This window comes from Homo sapiens, chromosome 1 (genome assembly GCF_000001405.40).
Source record: "Homo sapiens chromosome 1, GRCh38.p14 Primary Assembly".
NCBI classification, from domain to species: domain Eukaryota; kingdom Metazoa; phylum Chordata; class Mammalia; order Primates; family Hominidae; genus Homo; species Homo sapiens.
In genome coordinates, this window is record NC_000001.11 from 92,054,005 (window position 1) to 92,081,575 (window position 27,571).

The following is a 27,571-nucleotide window of genomic DNA, read 5'->3' on the forward strand; positions in this document are numbered from 1 at the left end:
GACATGGATATTTGTCAGTTTGGGTCTGTACTTAGGGAAAAAAATGAGATTCCATTTCTCTTAAGAATTAGGAGCCACAGCTGGCCTTGAATTTGAGGTTTAGGGATTTGAATTTGTGCTACCTCCATGATTCTGGAATTCTCAGGGCAGAAATTATGTGTTAACATGCCTTAGGCTGTTAACATTCCCCAGGAAGCCTGGCAGAAACAAAGACAAAACTTCTCCAGGATACATCTCAATTCAGGCCTCACAATATTCCCACAGATGAAGTCCCCTAAAGATGAGTTCATAATCCAAATTTAAAAATATCAACCTGGGCCATGCCTATAATCTCAGCACTTTGGGAGGCTGAGGTGGACAGATCACCTGAGGTCAGGAGTTCGAGACCAGTCTGGCCAACATGGCGAAACCCTGTCTCTACTAAAAATACAAAAATTAGCTGGGTGTGGTGGCACATGCCTGTAATCCTAGCTACTCGGAGGCTGAGGTAGGAGAATCGCTTGAACCTGGGAGGCGGCGGTTGCAGTGAACCGAGATCACGCCACTGCACTCCAGCCTGGGTGACAGAGAGAGACTCCATCTCAAAAAAAAAAAAAAAAAAAAGTAACCTACCATTAATAGCAGTCAGAATACAGTCACAGCCAAACTCCTACAACTTTCAAATAATAGAACTAACAGGGACTATAAAGTATGTTTAAATAATTAAACATAAGAAAGAATAAAAAATATGAGAAAAGAATAAGGTAATATCAAGACAGGCTGGAAAGAGCTGAAAAAGAACTTCTAGAAAATGAAAAATATGGTCATTGAAATCTAGAAGTCTATAGATGAGTTAAATTGCAGATCAGACAAGCCAAAGAGAATTATGAATTGAAAGATAAATCCCCCCAAATTACCCAGAATGTAGCTTAGAGAGATAATGAAGTAAAAATGTAAAAAGCAAGTTGTAATTTTTATGGAGGATAGAATTAGAAATTGCGTATGTATATATATGCTAATAATTTTTTGTGATAAAATAATAGAAATAGAATAGTATTATTTTCAAACCAGTAGAGGGGAACAAGAAAATGATCAGTTAAAAACTGTCAATAAAAAAATTTAAAACTATCAAAAAGGCAGAAAGGGAGAAAAAGAAGCAAAGCAGGGTAAATAGAAAGCACAAACTAAAATGACAAAACAATTTCAATATGTCAGCATGCACAACCAGCATTTATATATTAATATTGCCAGTTACAAAACAGAGAATATCAGATTGGATTTTTAAAAGAATCCATCTATATGGTGTTTGCACAGTTACAATTAAAGCACAAGGACACAAAATGGTTGAAAGTAAGAGATGGAAAGTTACAGCAGGTATTGATTTAAATAAAACAAAATCTTTCAAACTCTGTGGAATCCAAAGGGAGTCATGAGATTATATGAATGAGGGAAGAAGAGGTAAATCCAAATCTTTTTTGAATAACAAGAACAAACTTACAAATATATATATATCTTTGGCAAAACAGAGATGTTAATTTAAATGGTCTTTGTAGGTAACAGTTTATCAAGCAAGGCAATGGTTAGAAAGGCAGATAGATTGCAGAGGCTACAGGTTATATTTTATAGGATATAGCAACAATGTCTGAAACAACAATGTCTGAAGTTCACGTATTCTTGTTTGTTTTTGTTTTTTGTTTTCTGTTTTTTTTTACAAATAACGTAAAGAGAAAATAGAATGGCACATTTTCAAACAAGTCTTTTTTTATATTCAAGAAAAAAGATTTAAAATCTTAATTTTGGATAGGAGACGAGAATGACAGTTTTCAAACATGTTCTCAATTTATCTTTTTATCGCACTTCCTTTGAGTTGTAGAACAGTACGTTGTAAGTATCTATAAGGAAAGAGGGAAAATATTCTCATCTTTCTGAGATTCTTTTACTAATAGTTGTTTATTAGGAGGACTTGCATTCCCAAGAGAAATCACTGGAATCCTGTTAATTAGCAGAGAGAGAGAGAGAGAGAGAGGGAGAAAGAGAATGAGAGCGAGCAGGCCTATAAACTTCAAAACAGTTTTATCAAGGCAAAAGATGGAGTTTTAAACTAGTTGGTTGTAGGTTAAATCTAGTTGGGGGAGAGTTACATTAGACCTCTAGAAGCTCTCTGACCCCCCTCTGAGTAATTCTTTATATAGATAAGCAAAGCTGAGTATATCATTAAAAACAGGGCTATTAAAAACAGGCACGTTAAGACTACAAATAAGGTATAGTACATTATAGTCAGGCATGAAAATAGCCCTCATTTATTACCCTAAGCCTCCTTGGGACTATGTCCTCATCCAAAGACTTGCCAAAATTTGGAACTGAGGAACCAGGATGAACTAGGAATAAGACTAGCTATAGAACCTGTACTGCAAAAAGATAATTCTAAACGTATAACAAAACATCAAATAATAAAGCAAAATGTGACAGTCTTACAAGAAAAAATGGACAAATCCATAATTACTGTAGGAGATTTTAACCCACCTCTCTCTGAAGTTGATCAATCAAGCAGAAACAAATTAACAAGGGTATGGAAGATTTGAACAACTCTATTAATATCTTTGATCTGATGAAAAATTTTACAACTCTGCACATAACAATTAGAAAAATACACATTCTTTTCTTTTTTTTTTTTTTTAATAGTGGTGAGGTGTCACTATGTTGCCCAGGCTGGTCTCCAACTCCTGGGCTTAAGCGATCCTCCCACCTCAGCCTCCCAAAGTGCTGAGATTACAGGTGTGAGCCACCATACCCAGCCTATTCAAACATGTAAAGAATATTACAAATATTGATTACCTACTGGACTACAAAGCAAATCTTAACCAATACCAAAAAATATTACATAGATTATTTTCTCTGAACACATTACAGTAGAAATCAATAACAATAGCAACAAACTTTTAGAAAACCTCATATATACAGAAATTTGACTTCTGAATAACTCTGGGTAAAAAATCTATGGAAATTAGTAAAAACTTAGAAAAAATGATATTTCAAAACATGAGGAATAGTTAAAACAATACTTAAGAAGAAATACATAGCTTTAACGGTTATATTAGAAAAGAAGATTGAAAATCAGTGAGATAAGAGTTCAACTTAAGAAGTTAGAAAAAGAACATGTAAACAAAAATAAATTAGAAGACAAATAATTTAAATTACATATATAAAGCAAAAATTAATACAATAAAAAACAAAGACACAATAGAGATAAGTGGCAAAACCAAAAACTGATTATATGAAGACTACTAAGATACATAAACTATTGGCAAGAATGGTTAAGAAAAAACAGAAGGCACAAATAAACAAAGTTAGGAACCAGAAAGCAGTAAAAAAAATAACTATTAATACAAATGTAACAGACATTAAGGTATAAATGTTTAAGTTAACAAATTTTAGAACTTTGACAAAACAGGCAATTTTTAAGAAAAACATAACTTATCCAAAACTACTCATGAAGAATTCAAAAACATGAAAAGACTTATAGCAAACCAATATGAGTTTAAAGCATATCTATAATAACACACATAGACATACAAATACACACCCATACATAGAAGCCTAGATGGTTTTACAGGTAAGTTTGTTTTTTTTTTTTGAGACGGAGTCTTGCTCTGCCGTCCAGACTGGAGTGCAGTGGTGCAATCTCGGCTCACTGCAACCTCTGCCTCCCAGGTTCAAGTGATTCTGCTGCCTCAGCCTCCCGAGTACCTTGGATCACAGGTGTGTACCACCGTGTCCGGCTAATTTTTGTATTTTTAATAGAGATGGGGGTTCACCATGTTGGCCAGGCTGGTCTCGGAACTCCTGACCTCAGGTGATCCACCCACCTCAGCCTCCCAAAATGCTGGGATTACAGGTGTGAACCACCGGCACCCGGCCTACAGGTAAGTTTTACCACATAAAATCCCACTGTTAAATACTCTTTCAGATATTATAAAAGGAAGATATGTTTCAGCTCATCTTGTGAGGCTAATGTAACTTTCACACCAAAACAAGGATTGAATAAGACAGGCAAATTATAGGTCAATTTAAGTTATAAACATAGATCCACACATTCAAAATAAAATATCAAAATGAATTCAGCATGCATTAAAAAATTAAACCAAGGATGAGTTAGCATTAAAAATCAATTAATTAGGCTGGGCACAGTGGCTCACACCTGTAATCCCAGCATTTTGGAAGGCCGAGGTGGGTGGATCACCTGACTTCGGGAGTTCAACACCAGTCTGACCAACATGGAGAAACCTCACCTCTGCTAAAAATACAAAATTGGCCAGGCGTGGTGGTGCATGTCTGTAATCCCAGCTGCTCGGGAGGCTGAGGCAGGAGAATCAGTTGAACCTGGGAGGTGGAGGTTGTGGTGAGCCAAGGTCGCGCCATTGCACTCCAGCCTGGGGAACAAGAGCGAAACCCCGTCTCAGAAAAAAAAAAAAAAATCCATTAATTTGATTACCACATTATCAGATTAAAGGGGAAAATATGAACAGCTAAATAAAGAAAAAGCGTTTAATAAAATTTAACGCACATTCATGCAACGATTCTTAGTAATCTAGAAATAGAGGAGAAAGGAGTGGACCTCAGAGAGGTGGGATAAGCCTGCATCTGCTGAAGGGGTATTTCTGGGAAACTGACCTTTGCTTTACTCAATTGTCCCAGAAATAATAATAATAATAATAAAACATCAAGGGTGTTTTGCACTGGTTATTTGCACCTGGAGAGCTGGCAGGCACAGAAGATTCTTCAGAAGTTGGGGCCAAGGAGATACAAAACCTCTATTAAAATGGTATAATACTTGCTTTGTATTACAAAGTAAGTAATACGTTTGTAGTACTCTCCACAGTTGTATTTCCATGGGAAACTTTGGAGGGCCTGGAAAGTTCTACTGGTATCTGAGAGAGTAATATATTATCTCCTGCTTTATGAAACCATCTTTGTAAGTTTCTTTTTCCTTTGTCATTAAACTTTATATTCTCTGTGTCAGTTGGTGTCTATCTGTTAATCATATTACAGTTCCATTACCACAGCAATGAGGAAGGGAACTTCGTCTACCAAAAACCTATAGTAAACATCATTTTGTGATGAAACACTAAAAGCATTTCTTTCAAAAATAAAGAATAAAGATAAACTCGAGGGCCAGGTGCAGTGGCTCACGCCTGGAACCCCAGCACTTTGGGAGGCCAAGGCAGGTGGATCGCATGAGGCCAGGAGTCCGAGACCAGCCTGGCCAACATAGTGAAACCCAGTCTCTACTAAAAATACAAAAAATTAGCTGGTTGTGGTGATGGGCGCCTGTAATCCCAGCTATTCTGGAGGTCGAGGCATGAGAATCGCTTGAACCCAGGAGGCAGAGATTGCGGTGAGCCCAGATCCGTCACTGCACTCCAGCCTTGGCAACAGAGCAAGACCCTGTCTCAAAAAAAAAAGATAAACTTGACTACTATAACTGCTTCTATTCACCACTATATTATGTCTTAGCCAGCATGTAAGATAAGGGAAAAAAAGTGAGAATTGGGGAAGGAAGAAATAATAATTCATAGATAATGTGTTTATGTATCTAGAAAAAACAGGAGAATCTACAGAAAAATTATCAAAATTAAAACAGCTCAGCAAAGTTGATATATAAAAGTTCAAGATACAAAATTATGGTCTCACAAATCAGCAACAATTATAAAACATTTATTTATTAAACAGATGCACCTGCAAATGCAACAAAAAATTCTAAGGCATATAGGAATGACTCTAACAAAAGATGACCTTTATGCATTATCAAAATTTATTCTAAGACATTAAAGAATATGGGCTTAGAGCAGTGGCTATTTACCAACCAGTAGAGAAGTTTTTTTTTTTTCTTTGAGACAGGGTCTCACTTTGTTGTTGCTCAGACTGGAGTGCAGTGGCATGATCACACTTCACTCCAGCCTCGAACTCCTGGCCTCAAAGGACACCATCTCAAAGTGTTGGGATAACAGGTATGAGCCACCCTGCCCCACCGAGAAGTATTTTAATAATTTCACAATTGATACAGACTTGCTGGTATAAACTACTGAAAACCAGCTCTGGTTTATCATGTTCATGAGTGGAAAACTGCAATATCATAAGGTTATTGGGGCCAGGTACAGTGACTCCCTGTAATCCTAGCACTTTGGGAGGCTGAGGTGGGAGGATTGCTTGAAGCCAGGGGTTACAGACCAGCCTGCAATACAGTGAGACAATGTGTCTAGAAAAAAAAATTTTTTTTTTAATTAGTCAGCTGTTGTGGCATGCCTCTGCAGTCCCAGCTACTCAGGAGGTTCAGGTGGAAGGATCACTTGAGCACAGGAATTCAAGGCTGCAGTGAGCTATGTTGCTCACTGCATCATGATGATGATGATGGAGTGCCAGTGCACTCTAGCCTGGGTGATACGTCAAGACCCTGTCTCAAAAAAAAAAAATAGTTTTTAAATTAATAATTTAAAAATAAAATAATTAAGTTATTGGATTCTCCCCAAATTATTCTATAAACTTAATGCAACTTCAGTGAAAACCATAAGAAAGTTTTTAAATGAAACTTGACAAGCTAATTTTAAAATTTCTATGGGAGAATGGCCGAGATCATTTTAAAGAAAAGAATAGGTAGCCGGGTGCGATGGCTCACACCTGTAATCCCAGCACTTTGGGAGGCCAAAGTGGGTGGATCACATGAGGCCAGGAGTTCAAAACCAGCCTGGCTCTTTGACTAATGGTCTTTTAAAACTCCCCTTACTTTACTAATTCAATTGTTCTGTGCACCGATATTGCTAAACCATGCAGATAACTGTTAGAAAATGGTTTGGTTTTGAACATTATTGTGCTCTAGAATGTAAGTGGCTTTAAAGTTTGTATTCTTTTTTTTTTTTTTAAGACGGAGTTTGCTCTGTTCCCCAGACTGGAGTGCAATGGTGCGATCTTGGCTCACTGCAACCTCTGCCTCCTGGGTTCAAGCGATTCTCCTGCCTCAGCCTCCCAAGTAGCTGGGATTACAGGCGTAAGCCATCACACCCGGCTAATTTTTGTATTTTTAATAGAGACAGGGTTTCCCATGTTGGCCAGGCTGGTCTTGAACTCCTGACCTCAGGTGATCTGCCCACCTTGGCCTCCCTAAGTGCTGGGGCGTGTGAGCCACCGTGCCCGGCTCTAAAGTTTGTATTCTAACCCATCAGTTAGTAAGTATAAAATACACTTTTCTATCAATTTACCCATTTACAAAGAATTTAATTTTTAGGAGTATTACAACCAAATGGTGGCTACTTGCATGGTGTCAGAAGTTAAGTCCATGGTGGGCATGTGTAATATCCTGCTGTCAACTCTGAATTGCCACAAATCAGGCTTTTTTATTCACTAGTAAAAATGTGACTCAGTGCTAAACAGTTAGATGTTCATTTTCCTTCTTAATCAATAGGAGTATAATTAATACCATCAACTTTTCTGAAAAACAGTAACAGAAGATGTCAAAAGCTTAAAAAATATTTGTTCCCTTAAGCTCAGGAATTCTACTTCTAGGCTATAGCTCAAAGGGATTATCAGAAATGCCAAGAAAAATCTGGGCATAAAATGCTTATTATAGCATAATTTAAAACAAGGAGAAATACCACAAAACCTAAATATTCAATTATAGGGGAATAGTCAAGTCATTTATGAGTTATGCCATAAACTAGTATCTTTTACAATTATTTTTGAAAAATGTTATGAAATGAGAAAATTCTTGGTATCATTTAATGTGAAACTTGCATACGTGTACTGTGTATAAATTGTCTATATTGCATTATATTTATAGTATGGTTTCAAGAATATGCATAGAAAATGCCAAAATATTACCCTTTTGATAATGGAATTATAAATGATTTTATTTTTGTTATTTATATTTTTCTGTACTTAAGAAAGTATAGGCCATGTGTGCTGGCTCATGCCTGTAATCCCAGCACTTTGGGAGGCCGAGATGGGAGGATCACTTGAAGCCAGGAGTTTGAGACCAGCCTGGTCAACATAGCAAGACCCCATCTCAAATTAATTTTAAAAACATATATATACACAACAAAAACTTTGTTTTAAAAAATAATCTTCTTGCAAAATATAGTATCATGTAATATTAAAGCTCAGTTCAAATATAGTTTTTGAGTTTTCATCTCCAATTTTCACATAAAATGCATCAGATTATCTAGGAACAATTTAAAATAAAGCTAAACAGTAACATATAAATAGTTTAAATCTCTCTTTCATTACACCATTCAGTAATTCTGGTATCCTTTTGAAACAAATTACTCCTGGCTGGGTGCGGTGGCTCACGGCTGTAATCCCAGCACTTTGGGAGGCCGAGGCGGGTGGATCAAGAGGTCAGGAGTTCAAGACCAGCCTGGCCAAGATGGTGAAACCGCATCTCTACTAAAAATACAAAAAATTAGCCAGGCGCATTGGCAGGCACCTGTAGTCCCAGCTACTCAGGAGGCTGAGGAAGGAGAATCATTTGAACCCGGAGGGTGGAGGTTGCAGTGAGCCAAGATCGTGCCATTGCACTCCAGCCTGGGTGACAGAGTGAAACTCCATCTCAAAAAAAAAAAAAAAAAAAAAAAAAAGAAACAAATTACTCCTCATAGTGATGAATTTCCTATTTAACTTACAGCTTTTATTATACATTTTACTAGCCTCATCCAATTTAAATTTTACTGGGTCTTTTCTTAAATAGCCTTTTAAATATTTTATAGTAAATGTTGATTACTTAATGCATTGTTTCTCAATCACTTTTTCATTATCACTTTCCTAAGGAGCCTTTTTAGACTTTTTTTTCCCTAATCACCCCCACCCTGTGAAATTTTAGTATCTGTTTATGTACTGTATGTATATCCATGCTTTATATATGCAAAGGGTAAGATTTTTTTCACCCTCCCAAGAACACAATTTTCACCCTTTTAGAGGCAAGATTGCTCACTTCAAGAATGTATGACCTACTGGGGCACTATAGGAAAATGTCATTTTAACTTTGACAGTGAATCTCAAGCCCATGTATTTTGTTTTTATAGCTGCCTGCCTCTCAAACATCACATGGTGACCACTCCAACACTACTACTGTGGGGAGAGAATGACGCATTCATGGAGGTTGAGATGGCTGAAGTCACAAAGATTTATGTTAAAAACTATTTCAGGCTAACTATTTTGTCAGAAGCCAGTCATTGGCTTCAGCAAGACCAACCTGACATAGTGAACAAATTGATATGGACATTTCTAAAAGAAGAAACAAGAAAAAAAGATTGACTTTTCTTTATCTTCTATGAAGGGTCTGTAATGAAATCTCTAAATAATTTTTAAAAATTGTTCATCAACTTCTTTATGTTTTATTAGAAAAAAACTGTTTTAATGTGCTTTATCATAAATAAATATCCTGACAAATGGTATTGAAAAAAATCTGAGATCATGTGAACATATAATACAATGTTGATTTTCTTCTGGTGTATTTTGCACAGACAAGCATCTGCCTTAAAATATATACACTTGTACAAAAAGGAAGTTTGGAGTAAGTGCTTCCATTTTGGTTTCTTGCTTTTTTTTACTCTGTTAACATATGGTGCCTTTTACAAATGTATATTAAAGATTAGCTGTGCCATATTATAAGGCAAACCTGAAATAATATAAATTTTCATTCTATTGTTCAAAAATTCTTTTTACTATTTTTAACCATTAAAAAGTTATATTATCGAATCTCTTTGGATTTATAGTATATCTATTAGTTTGAAGGCAAATATAGCTAAATGAATATGCATTTTTAAAATGGGCCATATACTATTTATACTGGGAACATTAAACCATTTTTTAAAGCTGACATCTTGGCTGGGCGTGGTGGCTCATGCCTGTAATCTCAGCACTGTGGGAAGCCAAGGCGGGAGAATCACTTGAGACCAGGAGTTTGAGACCAGCCTGGCCAACATGGTAAAACCTCATCTCTACCAAAAATAAATAAAAAATAAAAGTGGGCAGGCGTAGGCGTGCACACCTGAAGTCCCAGCTACTCATGAGGCTGAGGTGAGAAGATCGCTTGTGTCCAGGAGCTTGAGGTTGCAGTGAGCCATGATTGGGCCATTGCACTCCAGCCTGGGCAATGGAGTGAGACCCTGTTGGAACGGAAAGGGAAAGGGAGAGGGAAAAGGAAGGAAAGGATCCTTTTACCCCATTCAATGCAACGAGAATTGAATATTACACATCTTATATGCACTAGAATCTAAGCTCCACAGGGCAGGGATTTTTTTGTTGTTTTATTAACTGATACATATTCAAGTCTAGACTAAGGGCCTGGCATATTGTAGGCACTCAAACATTTGCTTAATGAATAAATAATATATCTGGCACACTGCTAGGCACTGCGGGGGGGTGGGGAATATAAAAGAAAGATAAGGTGGTAACATAGAACTTTCCCATAAGAAGCCTTAAGGGCTGGGTGTGGTGGCTCATGCTTGTAATTCCAGCACTTTGGGAGGCTGAGATGGGTGGATCACCTGAGGTCAGGAGTTCGAGACCAGCCTGGCCAACATGGTGAAACCTCATCTCTACCAAAAATACAAAAATTAGCCGGGGATGGTGGCAAATGCCTGTAATCCCAGCTACTTGGGAGGCTGAGGCAGGAGAATTGCTTGAACCTGGGAGGCAGAGGTTGCAGTGAGCCAAGATTGCACCACTGCATTCCAGCCTGGGCAACAAGAGCAAAAAAAAAAAAAAAAAAAAAAAAAAAAAAAAAAAAAAAGACGCATACATAGAATGCAGTCAAATTAAATAAAGGTTCAAGAGTAGAAATGAACATTATAAGTAAGAGTTGAAAAGAGTTACAGAATAGAGAACAATACCAACTCAGGGGACTACTACTCATTCTTTTGGGTTGTTCCCCTTTAACATGGGAGGCAACCAGTAACACTGCCAAATCACATCACAGAACAAATAAGCCCTAAATTGGTGAAAGGATTGCTTCCCTCATTAAGCATAGTTCTGATCGTGACAGAACAAAGGAGAATGTCCCTAAGAATTCTCATTACTGTATCACAGCAAGTTGTATTTACAACAAAAATCCAATTCTCTATACAACACATTGCTTCGTAACAACATGCAAGGTAGGTATCACCAATTTATAAATAGTAAAAATGTGATTTAACGTGTAACTTTGCCAATGCCCATAGTGTAAGTTCTGGAGCTAGGATCTGACCTAGAGCCATCTGGTGGTAAAGCCCATGATCCCACTTACACCAGATACCATTTAGCAGACTTGTGGTATCCACGCCACTCTTCCTGTTTCAGCAGTAATCTGGTGTGTTTCAATAGATGGCCATATCTCTCAGGAACCTACAATTTGACTTTTAATTTTGGGAGGGAAAAGGAATTCAAATTAGCCATTAGTAAACATAGGAATATTCTATAGAGCATTGTCAGAGTTGCAAATGCCACAAGGTATAGAAAAATCCTGGTTCATACCAACTTGTTGCTTCCCTCTTGATCCCTCCAGAAGGGCAGCAACAAGGGAAAGAATGGGACGTGTTGACACAGTAAAGTAATCCTGACTTATTTTAATAAAAACCTGTTACTGACAAAGGTGATTTTAAGATTTGTTGTTGTTGCTACTTATGTCAGTTTAGGAAGCTGACAAGTTCATGTGGACTAATTTTAAGAATTTATCAATCAAACATTCCATGGGCAATTCCGGCCTATTACAATGAATGTACTCTAATTTTTAATAGATATGGAAAAGTACTTGTAACAGATATAAAGCCTCAAGGGTGCCATCTTGAGTTAAACCTCTTAGGATAAACAGTTATTACTATCTCTGTAGAAATCTATTGGTAGGGCAAGTAAGTGAATTTGATTTACTAGCTGCCAAAGCAGCTCACAGTAAATAAAAACAGGTAATGGCACCTAAATTAAAAGTTGTAATTATTAATAATATTCATCTATTCAAATTAATATATCCCTAGTAGTATATAATATATGCCTAATTTAACATCAGAAATTGCTATGTGAAAATAATTTATTAGGCATATGTCAAAAGCAAGATGTTTGCAAAAAAAGAAAGAAAGAATGTGCTGTTGATATGATTCAAATTCTCCTGTTACATCATTTACCATCTTTGATTTTTCTGATTTTAAAGGTAATGCAGCATTTTCTATTAACCTACAATTTCCTCTAACAGTTCTAATTATGTGCAAACAGAAAAAGCAGTTGGATGTGGGGAAGGGTGCATGTCAAAGGCTGCCCCCAAATCCAGGCTACACACAGCCTGGGTCTGCTAAGTCGGTTTCACGGCTCTGCATCCACAGACTCTGAGTTGGAGGCGAAGGAGTCTGGGATCACGCAGGAGCTAATCAAGTCCTTGTATCCTCAGCAGACACGCCTCTGTGCATGGTGCTGGACCTGCATCATCCTCGTGGGTACGAATGTCCTGCATCGCCTTCCTCTTCATCTGGCCAGTGGCCATGCTTTCCACCTTTGGCTATCCTGCTCAAATCCTGCAACCCTGCCAAGAGTTGGAGAAAAAAAACTGGTGAAACCAGTACTCAAGCTCATGCTTCAGGTGGCTTTCTTTTTACTTGGGTTCCTGGCTAAAGTGAAAGGGAAAAAGGCAACCCAAGACAAGGCCCCTATCTTCGTTACAGCACCACGGTCCACTTTCTTTGACTCAATCCCCTGTGTGGTGGCAGGGTTACCCTCAGTGGTCTCTGCAAGTCAAAATGTGCAGATCCCATTGGCTGGGAAATTCCTACTGTCAACACAGCTGGTGCTTGTGATTTGAGAAGACTCCCATTCCAGGAAGAATACTAAGGATGAAATCCTGAAGTGAGTGACATTTGGAAAGAAGTGGCCACAGATTCTGATTTTCCTAGAAGGTGTGTGCATCAATCGCTCCCGTCTAGTCACTTTTAAACCAGGGGCCTTCTGTCCAGGTGTTCCTGTGTAGCCAGTGCTGCTCAGGTACCCAAACACCCTGGACATGGCAATCTGGACCTGGCAGGGATTCACAGCCTTACAGGCCTGTATGTTGACACTCAGTCAACTCTTCACCAGGGTAGAAGTTGAGTTTATGCCTGTTTATATCCCAAATGATGAAGAAAAAAAAGACCCCATCCTTTTTGCCAATACAGCACACATCAACATGGCAAATGCTCTAGGGGTGCCTGGGACAGGGCACACTTACGAAGGCTGCAGAGTGATGATCTCCGCAGGTAACCTTCAACTACCCGTAGAAGCTGGTTTGGTGGAATTTACAAACATTAGCCAGAAGTTGAAGTTAGACAGGGATAACATTCATCAGCATTTGGATGAATATGCTGCAATTGCAGTTGCCTCAAAAGGAGGGAAGACAGGAATTGAAGAATTTTCAAGTTATTTAAAACTCCCAATTTCAGAGCCCTTGAGACAACCCCCTGCCCACTTCGGCAGGAATAATGATGGCAACATAGACTTCAGAGAGTATGTAATAGGTCTGAAAAGAGTCTGCAAATGTCCTTTAAGCTTTTTGATCTTGATGCGGATGGTTTAATAACAGAACAGGAGTTCGCTGCTATACTTTAGGCAGCTTTTGGAGTGCCAGATCTTGATGTTTCCAGGCTCTTCAGGAAATAGCTGGACAGAAATCAGTGTACATTTCATATGAGAGATTTAAGAAATTTGCCCTGAAGCATCCAGCATATCCCAACTTATTTAATTCACACCTAGACCTCCAGGCAGCCTATATATATTCATTACCCCAAAAAGTACAGTTTTAATCACTGTATTCAAATGTTACAAGTTAGCCCTGAAAACAGTGAAAGTATCTTCTAGGTAGAAATGATGATTGAAGTAAGAATTACTCTTTGAGGAAAAACTCAATAGTTTTCACTCTAAGAGGCATAGACAATTATGATATTTAAAATATGCTTGAGGAATATTTCAGTTAGATTTAATAGTATCTATTTTTCTTCTTTCTTAAGATAGCATTTGTTTTAATGTGACCTAAATGTAGAAGAACAAGTGATCTAGTCATAAACCTTGTTCACCCAGCAGGGTTCTAGTTAGTGCCTTTATTGTATTTAATGCTAAAATAAGGCCAGAGGAACATTAAAGCCTATCACCTGTCCCTCACTGTTGCAGAAAAAAATATCACATTAAGAGCTACACTTGGGCAAGCATGGTGGCTCACGCCTATAATTCCAACACTTTGGGAGGCTGAGGTGGAAGAATCGCTTGAGACCAGGAGTTTGAGACCAGCCCAGGCAACATGGCAAAACCCCACCTCTAAACAAAATACAAAATTAGCCTAGTGTGGTGGCGTGCACCTGTAGTCCCAGCTACGCAGGAGGCTGAGATGGGAGGATCACTTGAGCCCGGGGGGCAGATGTTGCAGTGAACAGATATTGCACCACTGTATCAGCTTGAGCGACAGAGATCCTATCTCAAAAAAGAAGAAAAAAAAAAAAAAGAGCTACACTGACAGTAAATAAAAACATTAAATTACCATTTGCATTTCCTCCAAAAAAAGAAAAGAGCTATATAAATACCTCTTTAGTCATTTGAAAAGTAGCCTCAATTTTCTTATTTTTCTTATTTATTATTATTATTTTTGAAGCAGAGTTTCTTTCTTGTTGCCCAGGCTGGAGTGTAATGGTGCAGTCTTGGCTCACTGCATCCTCTGCCTCCCAGGTTCGAGGGATTCTCCTGCCTCAGCTTCCCAAGACTCCTGGGATTACAGGCATGAGCCACCACACCCGGCTAATTTTATATTTTTAGTAGAGACGGGATTTCTCCATGTTGGTCGGGTTGGTCTTGAACTCCCGACCTCAGGTGATCCACCCTCCTCGGCCTCCCAAAGTGCTGGGATTACAGGCGTGAGCCACCGTGCCTGGCCACATTTTCTTATTTTTCAAGATAAAATAAATATTAGGAAGATATAGTGTGGGGAATACATTGCAACAATTATATATGGTATGCCTGTTCCCTGCTTGCCTTTTTAAAGTATAGAAGTGATTATTTAGAATGAGAAATCACAACAGATTAAAATTTCTGAAAACCTGTAAAAATATCATAAACATAGGTCATAAATATAGGAATTTTGACAAATTTCATTCTGTATGACTTTAATCAAAACACAAAAAAATGTGTTTATAATTAACATGTTCTGCATTACTGAAAATATTATTTTTGTTCCAATAAGGCATCAATGAGAATTGAAGCCTCTACTTATTTACACATTTATTTCCAATACCTGTCACTATGTGACATCTTCACATAGTGATGTGACCCTTGGGCCCTACCCCTTCATGTCACCATGCAGGATGAATCAGCAAAGTATTCCTGGAAACCATTCCCATACCCAGACAGGGAGCAACAACCTATCTAGACATAGAAGTGAATGTGAACTGATAAACATACTCCACCAGCCCTAATCACTGAATCCCCTACTTAGTTTCACTGTGACTGAATCTTAAAGATGGTTGTAGCTACTCAGTAGCACCAGATATGAGGTAACATTTGACCAAAGTTTGCCAACTTTACAAAAACATAACCAAGTAAACACATTTTTAGGGATGCTACTAGAACCCTAGAAGGGGCTTATGGAAGTGGGGCACCTAAAGCTTTAACTTCGTCAGTTTCCTGATACTTTCAGAAGGTAGAAAGAAAGAAGAGAAGAATGGGAGAAAAGTAAGGAGATGAGGAAGGAAAGGAAAAGAAAAAAAAAATCAAATATTATTTTGAGATAATTTCCATGCAGTTCTGCCCTGAAAAAAAAAAAAGGATTTGGATAAGCGATCTTTCATAATCCCCATCCGGTGCAATATTCCCATGATAATAAATGCATATATATATATAGAATTCAAAACAATGATTTGTTTAAGTGTACTGAAAATTATTCATTTAAATAAGAGCTTTCACTTAAAAGTAGTTATCAAGCAATATCTTTATTCAAACAGTAGTAGTGCAACTTAAACATTTGTAGAACTCTTTTAAGGTTGTTTCTCATTAGATAGTGAGCTATTCAAAAAAGCAGGGTCATTATTATACTCTCTACATTTTAACCTCAAATGTTTAGCTGGGTATGGTGGTGCATGCCCATAGTCCCAGCTACTCAGGAGGCTGAGGTGGGAGGATCGCTTTAGCTAAGGAGCCACAGGTTGCAGCGAGCTGAGATCACGCCACCGCACTCTAGCCTGGGCAACAAAGCAAGACTCTCTCTCAAAAAAAAAAAAAAAGTTTAACATAGCTTTGTTTAAACCCTCTTTAACACTTAACACTTAAATTTTTTTTATTTTAAAATAAATACAGATACAGAAAACGATATCAGGGAAATCTATAGCTAATAATTATTTTATATTATAAATATCTATATTTCATATTCTAAATATAATCTGTTTTAAGATGAATACTCTTGGCCGGGCGCGGTGGCTCACGCCTGTAATCCCAGCACTTTGGGAGGCTGAGGCAGGCGGATCACAAGGTCAGGATTTCAAGACCAGCCTGGCCAATATGGTGAAACCCTGTCTCTACAAAAAATACAAAAATTAGCCAGGCGTGGTGGCAGGCGCCTGTAGTCCCAGCTACTTGGGAGGCTGAGGCAGGAGAATCACTTGAACCCGGGAGGCAGAGGTTGCAGTGAGCCGAGATTGCGCCACTGCACTCCAGCCTGGGTGACAGAGGGAGACTCCATCTCAAAAAAAACAAAAAAAAAAAAGATGAATACTCTTGCAACCAACACTCAGATTGAGAAATAAAACTTGTCCAGCCACCTTACAAGCTCTTGCATACCCCTATCATAATTACAAACTCCCTCTTCCTCTCAAAATTAAGCTCCTTTCCTGACTTGGATAGCTTCACTTCCTGTATTTCTTTACTTTTTAATCATCTAAATGTGCATATTTTGATACCGTGATGCTTAATTTTATGTGTCAACTTGGCTAGGCCGTGGTACCCAGATATTTGGTCACAGATTACTCCAGATGTTTCTGTGAAGAGATTGTTTACATGAGATTAACATTTAAATCAGTAGACTGTGAGTAAAGCTGACTGCCCTTCATAATGTAGGTAGGCCTCATCCAATCAGTTAAGGCCTTAATAGAAAAAGACTGACCTACCCTGGAGAGGGAGGAATTCTGCCAGCAAACTGCCTGTAGACTTAATGTGCAATTCTTCCCTGGGTCTACAGCCTGCAGGCCTACCTACAGATTTGATGGTTGCCAATCCTTTACAATTGTGTGAGCCAGTTCCTTAAATCCTGCCCCCTACCCCATACACACACACACACACACACACACACACACACACACTCCCACCCACCCACCCACAGAGTTCTCCAGAGAAACAGAACCAATTGGATATTGGTTCCAATTGGATCTATCTATCTATCTATCTATCTATCTATCTATCTATATCTATCATCTATCTATCTATCTATATCTATCTCCAGAGAAACAGAAAACTCTAATAATAGATGCTATTCCTAGACCCTATAGTTTATTCATGCGCGTTTTTGACATTGGATGTTTTTTCTCCCTACATTGTAGCCCATGAAAGATATTTTTTAGGCCTTTTAAAATCTACAGATTTCCCTTCCATCCCTTATTTTGCTTATACTTTTTCTATTGCAGAACTTAGGCTGTTTGATCTGTGGAATTTCCCATAGTCTGCATTTTGCCAAGTGCATATTTATGGTACAAATCAGCATATCCTTCTGCTGATTGTATTTTCTGCTGATTGGAATCCAGAGGCTTGATCAAATTCAGGTTTGATTCATTTGGCAAGATCATACATGTAGTGTGTTTTTCATCAGAAAGCATATATTGCCTGGTTTTCTTTTTGTGATTTTTGCAGCTATTGCTGTTCATCACTTAGATCATTGAGGGTTGTAATACGGTGCTATTCTGATTCTGTAATCGCTTTTCTTTTTCGAAATGGCTTTTCCAAATGGCTGCCTATTCTTAAATATGATGGCAGGAAGAAATCAAAATTACAACTTCCCTGTACATGAAGACCTTCAGTGGTCATCATCACTATCACCTTTGTAAACCCACCACATCCACTGGAGCTAGTAAAACTTAACTGCTAGGAGGAAACAAACACTAACAGCAAAATGACATTGCCTATTTGAATGGAAGACAGTGTGAGGGGAAAGGTAAAACTCTAAAGAGTAACCTTCAAAACTACTTTGTGATGATAAGTCATAAGCTAATAATGCACAACATAGCAGAATTTTACATGGATTATCTCATTTAGTCTTTCTAACCACCACATGAGGTACCCTTATCCCCATTATAGGGAAACTGAGGCTTGGAGAGCTTCATGGATCATCACAATAGACTAAAGCTCAATAGACTTAGACTATTAGACCAGTAGGCTAGGTCACACAACTAATAAACAACTTAAATTGGATTCAATATCATGATTCTAAAGTCTATGCTTTTAACCATTACATACATGCAGGGAAGAGTCCAGAAACAGTATAAGTGAGGTTTGTGCAGGATTCTCAGCTTTATCAGTTCTTTGTGTTGCTGTTAGCACTGAGAGGACATTGAGCAGATTAACAGTTGACCAATACTAAGGCAAAAAATTACTGCACCCTCACCCTTGGGCATAGAACATTCAGCAATTTATTTTTATTTTTTATTTTTTGAGACAGGATCTTGCTCTGTCACCGAGGCTGGTTTGCAGCAGTGTGATCTCAGCTCACTGCAACTTCCACCTCCTGGGCTCAAGTGATCCTCCTGCCTCACCCTTCAGAGTAGCCAGGATCACAGGTGCACACCACAACCCAGGGCTAATCTTTCTTATTTTTGATAAAGACGGGGTTTTGCCATGTTGCCCAGGCTGGTCTCAAACTCCTGGACTCAAGTGATCCACCCACCTCAGTCTCCCAAAGAGCTGGGATTACAGGCATGAGCCACTGCACCCAGCCAGTAAAAATTTTTTTAAAGCAATGTATATAAAGCCTCTATAATTAAAACTGTGATATTGGCACATGAATAGATGGCCTGAACAATGTGATAGACTAGAAAGTCCAGAAATAGAACTAAGGGACAAAACAATTTAGCATACGATAAAAGTGGCATCTAAAATGAGAAGGGGAAAAGCTGACTTTTAATAAACGGTATTGGGATAACTAGATAGCCACTTGGAAAAAAAGGAAATATACAATTGGATCTTTTCTTCATACCATGTAACAAGATAAATTCCAAATGAATTAAATAGCTAAGTATAAAAAGTGAAATCACACATTATTAGGGGAAAGCGTATGAATTCTTTTACAATCTGGAAGTCAGGATAATCTTTCCACCTATGACTCAAAGTCCAGAAAAAATGAACAAAAAGAAAGAATAAATTTGACTACATTAAAACAAAAACACCAGGGGAAAAAAAAAACCCACCAAAAGCCAAGCCAAGTCAGAAGACAAATGACAAATGGGAAAAATATATTTGCAAATTATATCACAGACAACACTAATATCTCCAACATCTAAAAATAGAGAAAAGACCAAAAGCAAAATGGACAAAGGATATGAATAATCATTCAAAGAAGAAATTAAAATGGCAGCTGAGTGAAATGTAGTGGAATTGCCGTCATAATAAAAAGAAATAACAAAGACCTGCATTCGTATGGCATAACCTCTAGGATATACTGTTTTTTTGTGTGTGTGTGTGTATGTGTATACATTTACTTTTATTGTAACAAAGCAACTTGTACACTTTTAATGTTTAAAACTGAGCATCATCTTCCCTTTCCAGCGAAACAAAAAGAAAATTTAAAAATAAACAGGAACAAAATTACAATAGAGAATGTCAATTCCAAATAAGATCCTACAGGTTCTGCTGATTCTCCCATTGAGTGGCAGGGCTCAAGTCATCATTAGGAGGGAATTTATTTTAAAAGTGTCATCTTAAACTGCAAGGATGTCTGTCAAATATCACAATTAAACATGCCAAAGGAGAAGCCATGTTGTCAAAATGCCCACTTAACCCACCCAAACATCTCAAATCCACACTTTGCTGACCTTCTATAACCCCATTTTTTTAAGTTTTTTTTCTTTTTTTAAACACGAGAAAGTAGACAGATATGTGTTGGTAAATGCTAACTGTCCATATTGTCCCTTTGACCTACATAGAGACACAGTGTACTCTCTGAACCCAATATACAGAGAAAGGAGGAAAAAAGCTAGAATTCTATGCACTACTATACAGGGGCCTAGCATCCTCCAGCTTCCAGCAGAGCGAAGGGAGCAGGTTTTTCTTTTTCCCCACAGAGCTCGGTGGTGTTGATTCCATACAGTTTTTGTTCAGACAGGAAGGGATAAAAATGAACTTCGAACAGAAAAGGGTAGAGACTCTTTTCCCATTGTATTCTGCTCAAGGTATTTCCCCCCAAATAAGTTGAGAACCATGGAGTAGAGAAAAGAGAGCTGAAGAACAGGGTGACTGAGCACAAGAGAAAAAAAAAAAGACTGCAACTTGCTCCCAGGGCTGGAGAAAATTTTAAAAAAGGAAGGTTGGAGTCCATCAGTGTTCTATTAGTCATCTTCTCCTTCATCCTCCTCTCCTTCCTCCCCTTCATCATCATCTTCATCTTCTTCACCTTCATCCTCATCCCCTTCATCAATATCTTCTAATTCTTCCTCCCCTTCATCACCATCATCATCATCATCATCATCATCTTCTCCTCCTTCTTCATCATCCATATCAGGAACCAAGTAATACTGTAATGGGTTTGGCCAAATATCATCTTTGATGACCTCTTCTAACTCATCAGCACCTGCATCAGAATGATCAGTAAACCAGGTAAAGAAGCTCTCTGGTTCCTCATGCTGCCTCTTCCTGCTGGCTTTATTCTGCGTTTGACTTGAACGTTTCGTCACATCCTTTCCAGATTTCCATTTGATTTTGGTGGACTTTGAAGATGGATCACCACTCTCATTCAGATGAAATTCTTTGGAGAAAACTTTATTTTCAAAGTAAGGATTTTCATCAAAATAAAAATCTATTCTGTAACCTGATTTAATATCTTCAAATTCTGTCACTTCAACTTTAGTCAAATAATGCAGTGCCTCTTCGTCCTCCTCCCCAAGCAGTGAAGACACTTGTGGATGGTTGACAAATGTTGTTACCCCAAAATTTGGGATTTTGGCGATCAATTCTGACCTCTTCTGAAAAAATGGTTGGCGGAGTTTGTTATATTTCTGTTCTACTTTCAAAATCTCCTCACTGTCTTGTTCATTAAGTCTGTCTATTTCATTTTGTACTTCATCAATGTGTTCAATTGCTTCTTGCTGTTCTTTTTCTCCCTTCTTCGGCAAGCCTGCAGAGGCCGATGTCTCCTCCAGTCCCAGAGCAGGAGGTGGTCTTGGTTTCTTCTTTTGAAGTGGGAGTGGAGACTGGCGTTTAGGGGCCATGCTGTTAGGGAAGTCCAAGAACCAGACCATGAGTCTCCTTGCTCGTCTGGAAGCAGGCAGAACACTGTAGGATGTACTGTTAAATGAGGAAAAATAAGATGCAGAATACTAAATATAGTATGCATGTTACCTTATGTTTAAGAAGGGGTCATCTGAGTACATGGAATATATGGAATACACACATACATATACACATGCATTCTTTTTTCCAAGGTAATAAAGGAATTTACCCACTTTATTTCTAGTAGTATGTAGTTTCACTTTTTATATTTAGCTGTCTTATCCATTAAATTTTTATATATAGTTCTTTTTTCTTTTTTTTTGAGATGCAGTTTCACTCTTGTCACCCAGGCTAGAGTGCAGTAGGTTGATAATCGGCTCACTGCGACCTCCACCTCCCAGGTTCAAGCAATTCTCCTGCCTCAGCCTCCCGAGTAGCTAGGATTACAGGCCTGCACCACCACGCCCAGCTAATTTTGTATTTTCAGAAGAGACAGAGTTTCACCATGTTGGCCAGGCAGGTCTCGAACTCCGGACCTCAGGTGATCTGCCCACCTTGGCCTTCCAAAGTGCTGGGATTACAGGTGTGAACCACCATGGTCAGCGAATTTTTATATATAGTTCTTAAAAACAAAAAACAAAAACAAACACAAAAAAACACCACTCAGCTGGGCATGGTGGCACATGCCTATAGTTCCAACTACTCAGGAGGTTGAGACAGGAAGATCACTTGAGCCCAGGAGTTCAAGGTCAGCCTGGAAAACATAACAAGCTCTCTTGCTCTCTCTGAAAAGCTTTTTGCTTTTTTAAAAAAATTTATTGAGATGGAGTCTCCCTCTGTCGCCCAGACTCAAGTGCAGTGGCGCCATCTCGGCTCACTGCAAACTCTGCCTGCCAGGTTCAAGCAATTCTCCTGCCTCAACCTCGAGTAGCTGGGATTTGAAATTTTTCATATTAAAACTTTCATTTTTTGTTTTGAAACAGGGTCTCACTCTGTCACTCAGGCTGAAGTGCAGTGGCACGATCACGGCTCACTGCAGCCTCTAACCCCTGGTTTAGGCGATCCTTCCACCTCAGCCTCCTGAGTAGCGAGGACTACAGGCATGTGCCACCACACCTGGCTTTAATTTTATTTATTTATTTATTTATTTATTTATTTATTTATTTATTTATTTAGTAAGTAAGTAAGTAGAGACGAGGCCTTGCTATGCTGCCTAGGCTGTTCTTGAACTCCTGGGCTCAAGCAATCCTCCCACCTCAGACTCCCAAAATGTTGGGATTACTGGTGTGAGCCACCAAGCTCAGCCTAAACATTTTTAAAGAGGGAGAAATAATGCATCAAAAATGGGTTTGCTTTCATGAGATTAGAGTTCTTGAAAGAAGTTTTTCCTTCCAAGGCAATTTTACCTAAATTTACTTTTCTCACATTAAGATCACAGTTAAAGATGACCCTAAACCAAATTAGGAGTTTAGCCACGTTTACCTTCACAGCTCCCACCGCTAGTTCCTTAAACTCTCTTTTCCTCCTGATCAAAAATTATTTCAGGAAGAACATCTGAAAACCTCACTCACATTAAGGGATAAATGACTATAGAGATGAATTAAAATAAAAATAATGCTTTAAGTTAAATTATCTAATGGTAGAATGTGAAGCATCAATGACAAGTTTTTTTGTTTTTTTTTTTTTAGAGACAGTCTTGTTCTATTGCCCAGGCTAAGTAGTGCAGTGCTGCGATGTGATCATAACTTACTGCAGCCTCGAACTCCTGGCTTCAAGCAATCCTCCCACCTCAACCTCCCAGTGTTGGAATTACAGGCATGAGCTACCATGCCCAGCCATGTTTTGTTTTTTAAGGGAGTATTTACTCATTCTTTAATCATTTCACATAGCCGCCTAAGCTACCTTAAGTTTTTTTATTTTTATATATATATTTCTTGAGACGGAGTCTTGCTCTGTCACCCAGGCTGAAATGCAGTAGCACGATCTCGGCTCATTGCAACCTCTGCAGTGAAATGATATAGTTAAGTGATTCTCTGCCCCAGCCTCCCAAGTAGCTGGGACCACAGGCATGCACCACCACACCTGGCTAATTTTGGTATTTTTAGTAGAACCGGGGTTTCGCCATGTTGGCCAGGCTGGTCTCGAACTCCTGACCTCAGGTGATCTGCCCGACTCGGCCTTCAAATGTGCTGGGATTACAGGCATGAGCCACCAAACCCGGCCTAACTTAAGTTGTTTTAAGATAAAACATGAACCAGGAATCATTCTGTCACCCATTTCCAACCAGAGAGTAGCCTAGTTGTTACTTTATCAGGTGATAAAGAGGCCTGGTAGAAATCTGGCAGGGCTTTGAAGGGAGTCTGGTGCTAGACTACCTGGGTGGTTTTTTGATTTTTTTTTTTTTAACATGTGGATATTTAAGGTATACAACATGATGTTTTGACATACATAGTAAAATGATATAGTCAAGCACATATCATCATCACACAGTTACTGTTTTCCCTCTCACCACACATAGTTACTTTTTTTGTGGTATGATCACCTAAAATCTACTCGCTTAGCAAATTTCTAGTATACAACAAATATTATTACCTATAGTTCTCATGCTGTACATTAGATCTCTATACTTACTCATCCTACATAAATGCAACTTTGTACCCTTTGACCTACATCTCCCCCAACCACCTTTCTGTTTATGTACTTTTTAAAAGATCCTACATATGAGAGTATGCAGTATTTGTCTTTTTTCTTTTTTTTTTTTTTTGAGACAGAGTCTGGCTCTGTCGCCCAGGCTGGAGTGCAGTGGCAATCTCCGCTCACTGCAAGCTCCGCCTCCCAGGTTCACACCATTCTCCTGCCTCAGCTTCCTGAGTAGCTGGGACTACAGGTGCCCACCACCATGCCTGGCTAATTTTTTTTGTATTTTTAGGAGAGACAGGGTTTCACCGTGTTAGTCAGGATGGTCTCGATCTCCTGACCTCATGATCCGCCCACCTCGGCCTCCTAAAGTGCTGCAATTACAGGCGTCAGGCAGTATTTGTCTTTCTGTGCCTGGCTAATTTTACTTAACGTCCTCCAGCTTCATCCATGTTGTCACAAATGGCAGGATCTTCTCTTTTAAGAATGAATAATATTCCATTGTATATATACAACATTATCCGTTAATCTATCCTAGGGACAGTTAGGTTGTTTCCATATCTTAGCTATTGTGAATAATGGGGCAACAAACATGAAAGTGCAGATATCTCTATGAGGTGCTAATTTCATTTCCTTTGGGTATATACCTGAAGAGGGTTTGCTGGGTCATGTCATAGTCCTATTTTTAATTTTTTGAGGAACCTCCATACTGTTTTCCATAATGGCTGCACCAATTTACATTCCTACGAAAAGTATATGTAAATTGACTAAATTTGCCAGTCAAAATATAAATACTGCCTGGGTTATAATACACCATTATTATGGTGTAACACACCATATATTATAGTGTGATATATGACATTGTGTGACCTTGGCCAAGTTTACCTATCCTTTGTATGCCTCAGCTTCCTCATCTGTAAATAGGTCTGAAGACAGTACCTAGCTAAATGGTTGTTGTAAGGATTAACTGAGTTAAAACACACAGAGCAAATAGAGTAGCGTTTATCACATAATAAGGATTCAAATATAAGCTACTATTATGTTATCTTTGACACCCCTCGTTTCTACAGGAATAATTAAGAATCAATTATCCATCCAAGCATTTGGGAATTAATTTTAAAAAATCAATTATCCAGTTATATTTTTCAGAATTAAGATGTCTGAATATTTGAGAGGGGGCATTATCTGAAGAAATGGTTACCTCTTGGCCAATCTTATGGTACAAATACAAAGTCCATATATTCCCCTCCCCGCCTCCTTTTTTTTTTTTTTTGTTTGGTAGAGACAGGGTCTCCTTATGTTGCCCAGGCTGGTCTCTAATTCCTGGGCTCAAGTGATCCTCCCGCCTTGGCTTCCCAAAGTGCTGGGATTACAGGTGTGAGCCACCGCAACCTGGCCAATGTATTTTCCAAGCAATTACTATTCTTCACCTTGTGTGTAGAGTTTGTGAATGAAACAGATTTTTTTTTTTTTTTTTTTTTTTGAGACAGGGTCTTGCTGTGCTGTTCAGGCTGGAGTGCAGTGGTGCAATCATGGCTCACTGCAGCCTCGACCTCCCGGGCTCAAGCCATCATTCCGCCTCGCTTCCCAAGTAGATGGGACTTGCCCGGCCCGAAGCGGAACTACTGAGTTTCCTTATTTTGGAGGCAGTAATCAAATAAAAAATACCAAAACCTTAAATGATAATCAGTTTGCTACTTTATTTGGGACAAAAGAGAATTCTATATTTCATCCATCCATCACTTCACTGCTCAAAGACTTTGCCCCTTACCTATTTCTCCCTTCTTGGTCATAAATGTTAGGGCTTTATATGCAAAGCCCTGTGCTTTCTCCGATCAAGTCCAAAAGCTTGTATGAGCCACTCCTTGGATAAGAAGGGGATGGGGCCTTCTAGATGCTGTAAGTATCTCTTATATTGAACTCAGAATTGTTCTGACTGGCAGTTTATGAAGTTCTTCCCCTACTCCTCCCATCGCCAATTTTTCTTGCCCCAAACATTTATACCTCAGGGTTAAGAAGCCAGGTAAGTGAGGGGGTGTGACTCGCCCAGTCTTTCGTTGGAAAAAAGTGTAGACCTGTCAGGAAGACACAGCATAGAAAGGCTGCATGTGCTGATTTGAACTCGAGCCTCAGTAAAACATTGAAATGAATGAACACCAACCGGAAGGGAAAGAAGAGGGGAGGGGATAAGGAGCCTGAGGATTGGTTTGCCCCGCGGGATGGTCCGCGCCTGAGCCATGGGAGGCGGGGTGCCCGCCGGCAGAAGTAAACAGAGCGAGTACGCCTGCGCACGCTCTTCCTGGGTCAAGAGCCGGCTCGGTTCTGGGATTCTGAGGCTCCCCACCGCGGTCCGGCTTCTCTGGGAGACTGTCTACAAACCGACGAGAGGCGTCAACCTTTTACCCTAGGGGGCGGATTTGGGTAGGAGCCGAGCGTTCGGTCGGAAACGCCCCCTTCTTCCTCCTGGGCGGGGCAAGTGAGGCCAAGTACTGGGCCTCCAGGGCGTCGTACCTCTGTGAGACATGGCTCGCTGTGGGGAAGGCAGTGCGGCCCCCATGGTACTTCTGGGGTCCGCTGGAGTTTGCAGTAAGGGGTTGCAAAGGAAGGGGCCGTGTGAGCGGCGCCGGCTGAAGGCGACGGTGTCGGAGCAGCTCAGCCAGGATTTGCTCAGGTAGGAGGAGGCGGGAACTCTGGCTGCTTCAGTTCCTAAATCGCCCACCTCCGCCCCGAAGCTGAGGCTTCTTTCGGCTCTGCCTCCCCCTCCCTCAGCACTTGGTTCTCCTCGCCTCAGGCGACTGCGGGTCGTTAGCCAGTCTCCCCACTATTCCGAAAAGTGGCTTCGCTCGCCCTGAATAAACAATCCCGAGCACCTCGACACCATGTACCAGATTCAAAAGGAAAACAAAAAAAGCTTAGTCGTGTGCAGCACTAGTTTGCTAGAAATATCTCAACACAGGCACGCTTAGTTGTTTCCAATCACTAAGGTCGGGTGGATCCAGGTCCTGAAACTTACACAATTTTTAAAATAAGCTTATACTATTTTAAGAAAAATAATAAAATTAGGAAAACGATTATTTGAAATGAGGAAAGAACAATACTATAGTCTTGGAGGTCTCTTCTGAGGTCTCTTTAAACAATTTACCAGAAATGCTTCCTGATTGCGACCTGGATTCCTCTCTCCACCTAGAGCTCTCTGTAGCTCCCAGCAACTCTCAGCTCCTGTGAGGACCAAAGCAAATGGAGGGTCTTCCTGACATTTAACCTTTGTAAGCCTCATGGATATCCTTCTCGGGTTATTGGGAATCCAGCTAAAGTAATTTCAGCTTACAAAGAAATTGAAGCTTAGAAATATGACCTAGCTAATTTACATTTCCAGCAAGACATTGATTCTTAAACTTGGGTGGGCATCACTGAAATTTTCCATTTCTAACAAGGCCCCAAGTGATGCTAATGCTGCTGGCTAGGGTGACTATGAGAACCACTGAGGTAAACATAATTACTAATAATTAAAAGTTGTGCAGCATTC

The 27,571-nt window shown here is 39.2% G+C and overlaps 3 protein-coding genes and 1 pseudogene across 7 annotated transcripts in view; 3 read left to right on the plus strand and 1 right to left on the minus strand.

The window, feature by feature from the left end:
• The window catches only part of EPHX4 (epoxide hydrolase 4), a 33,554-nt gene extending 24,020 nt beyond the window's left edge, over nucleotides 1–9,534 (plus strand). The window contains exon 7 of the mRNA NM_173567.5: nucleotides 9,051–9,534. Within this exon, the coding sequence (NP_775838.3) occupies nucleotides 9,051–9,282 (232 nt within the window). The 3' untranslated portion in view covers nucleotides 9,283–9,534. The remainder of the gene's footprint in view (nucleotides 1–9,050) is intronic.
• On the plus strand, nucleotides 12,456–13,769 carry LPCAT2BP (lysophosphatidylcholine acyltransferase 2b, pseudogene; annotated as a pseudogene).
• Nucleotides 20,529–21,407, minus strand: SETSIP (SET like protein). Its single transcript, NM_001287737.2, has one exon. The coding sequence runs from the start codon at nucleotides 21,405–21,407 to the stop codon at nucleotides 20,529–20,531; it is 879 nt and encodes a 292-aa protein (NP_001274666.2).
• A 4,933-nt stretch (nucleotides 21,408–26,340) lies between these two features.
• The window catches only part of BTBD8 (BTB domain containing 8), a 104,379-nt gene continuing 103,148 nt past the window's right edge, over nucleotides 26,341–27,571 (plus strand). For 3 of the 5 annotated variants that reach the window (XM_047418461.1, NM_001376131.1, XM_047418474.1), the window contains exon 1: nucleotides 26,341–26,716. In XM_047418461.1, the coding sequence (XP_047274417.1) occupies nucleotides 26,568–26,716 (149 nt within the window). In that variant the 5' untranslated portion in view covers nucleotides 26,341–26,567. The remainder of the gene's footprint in view (nucleotides 26,717–27,571) is intronic. The other 2 variants (XM_047418464.1, XM_047418466.1) reach the window with 1 other exon arrangement.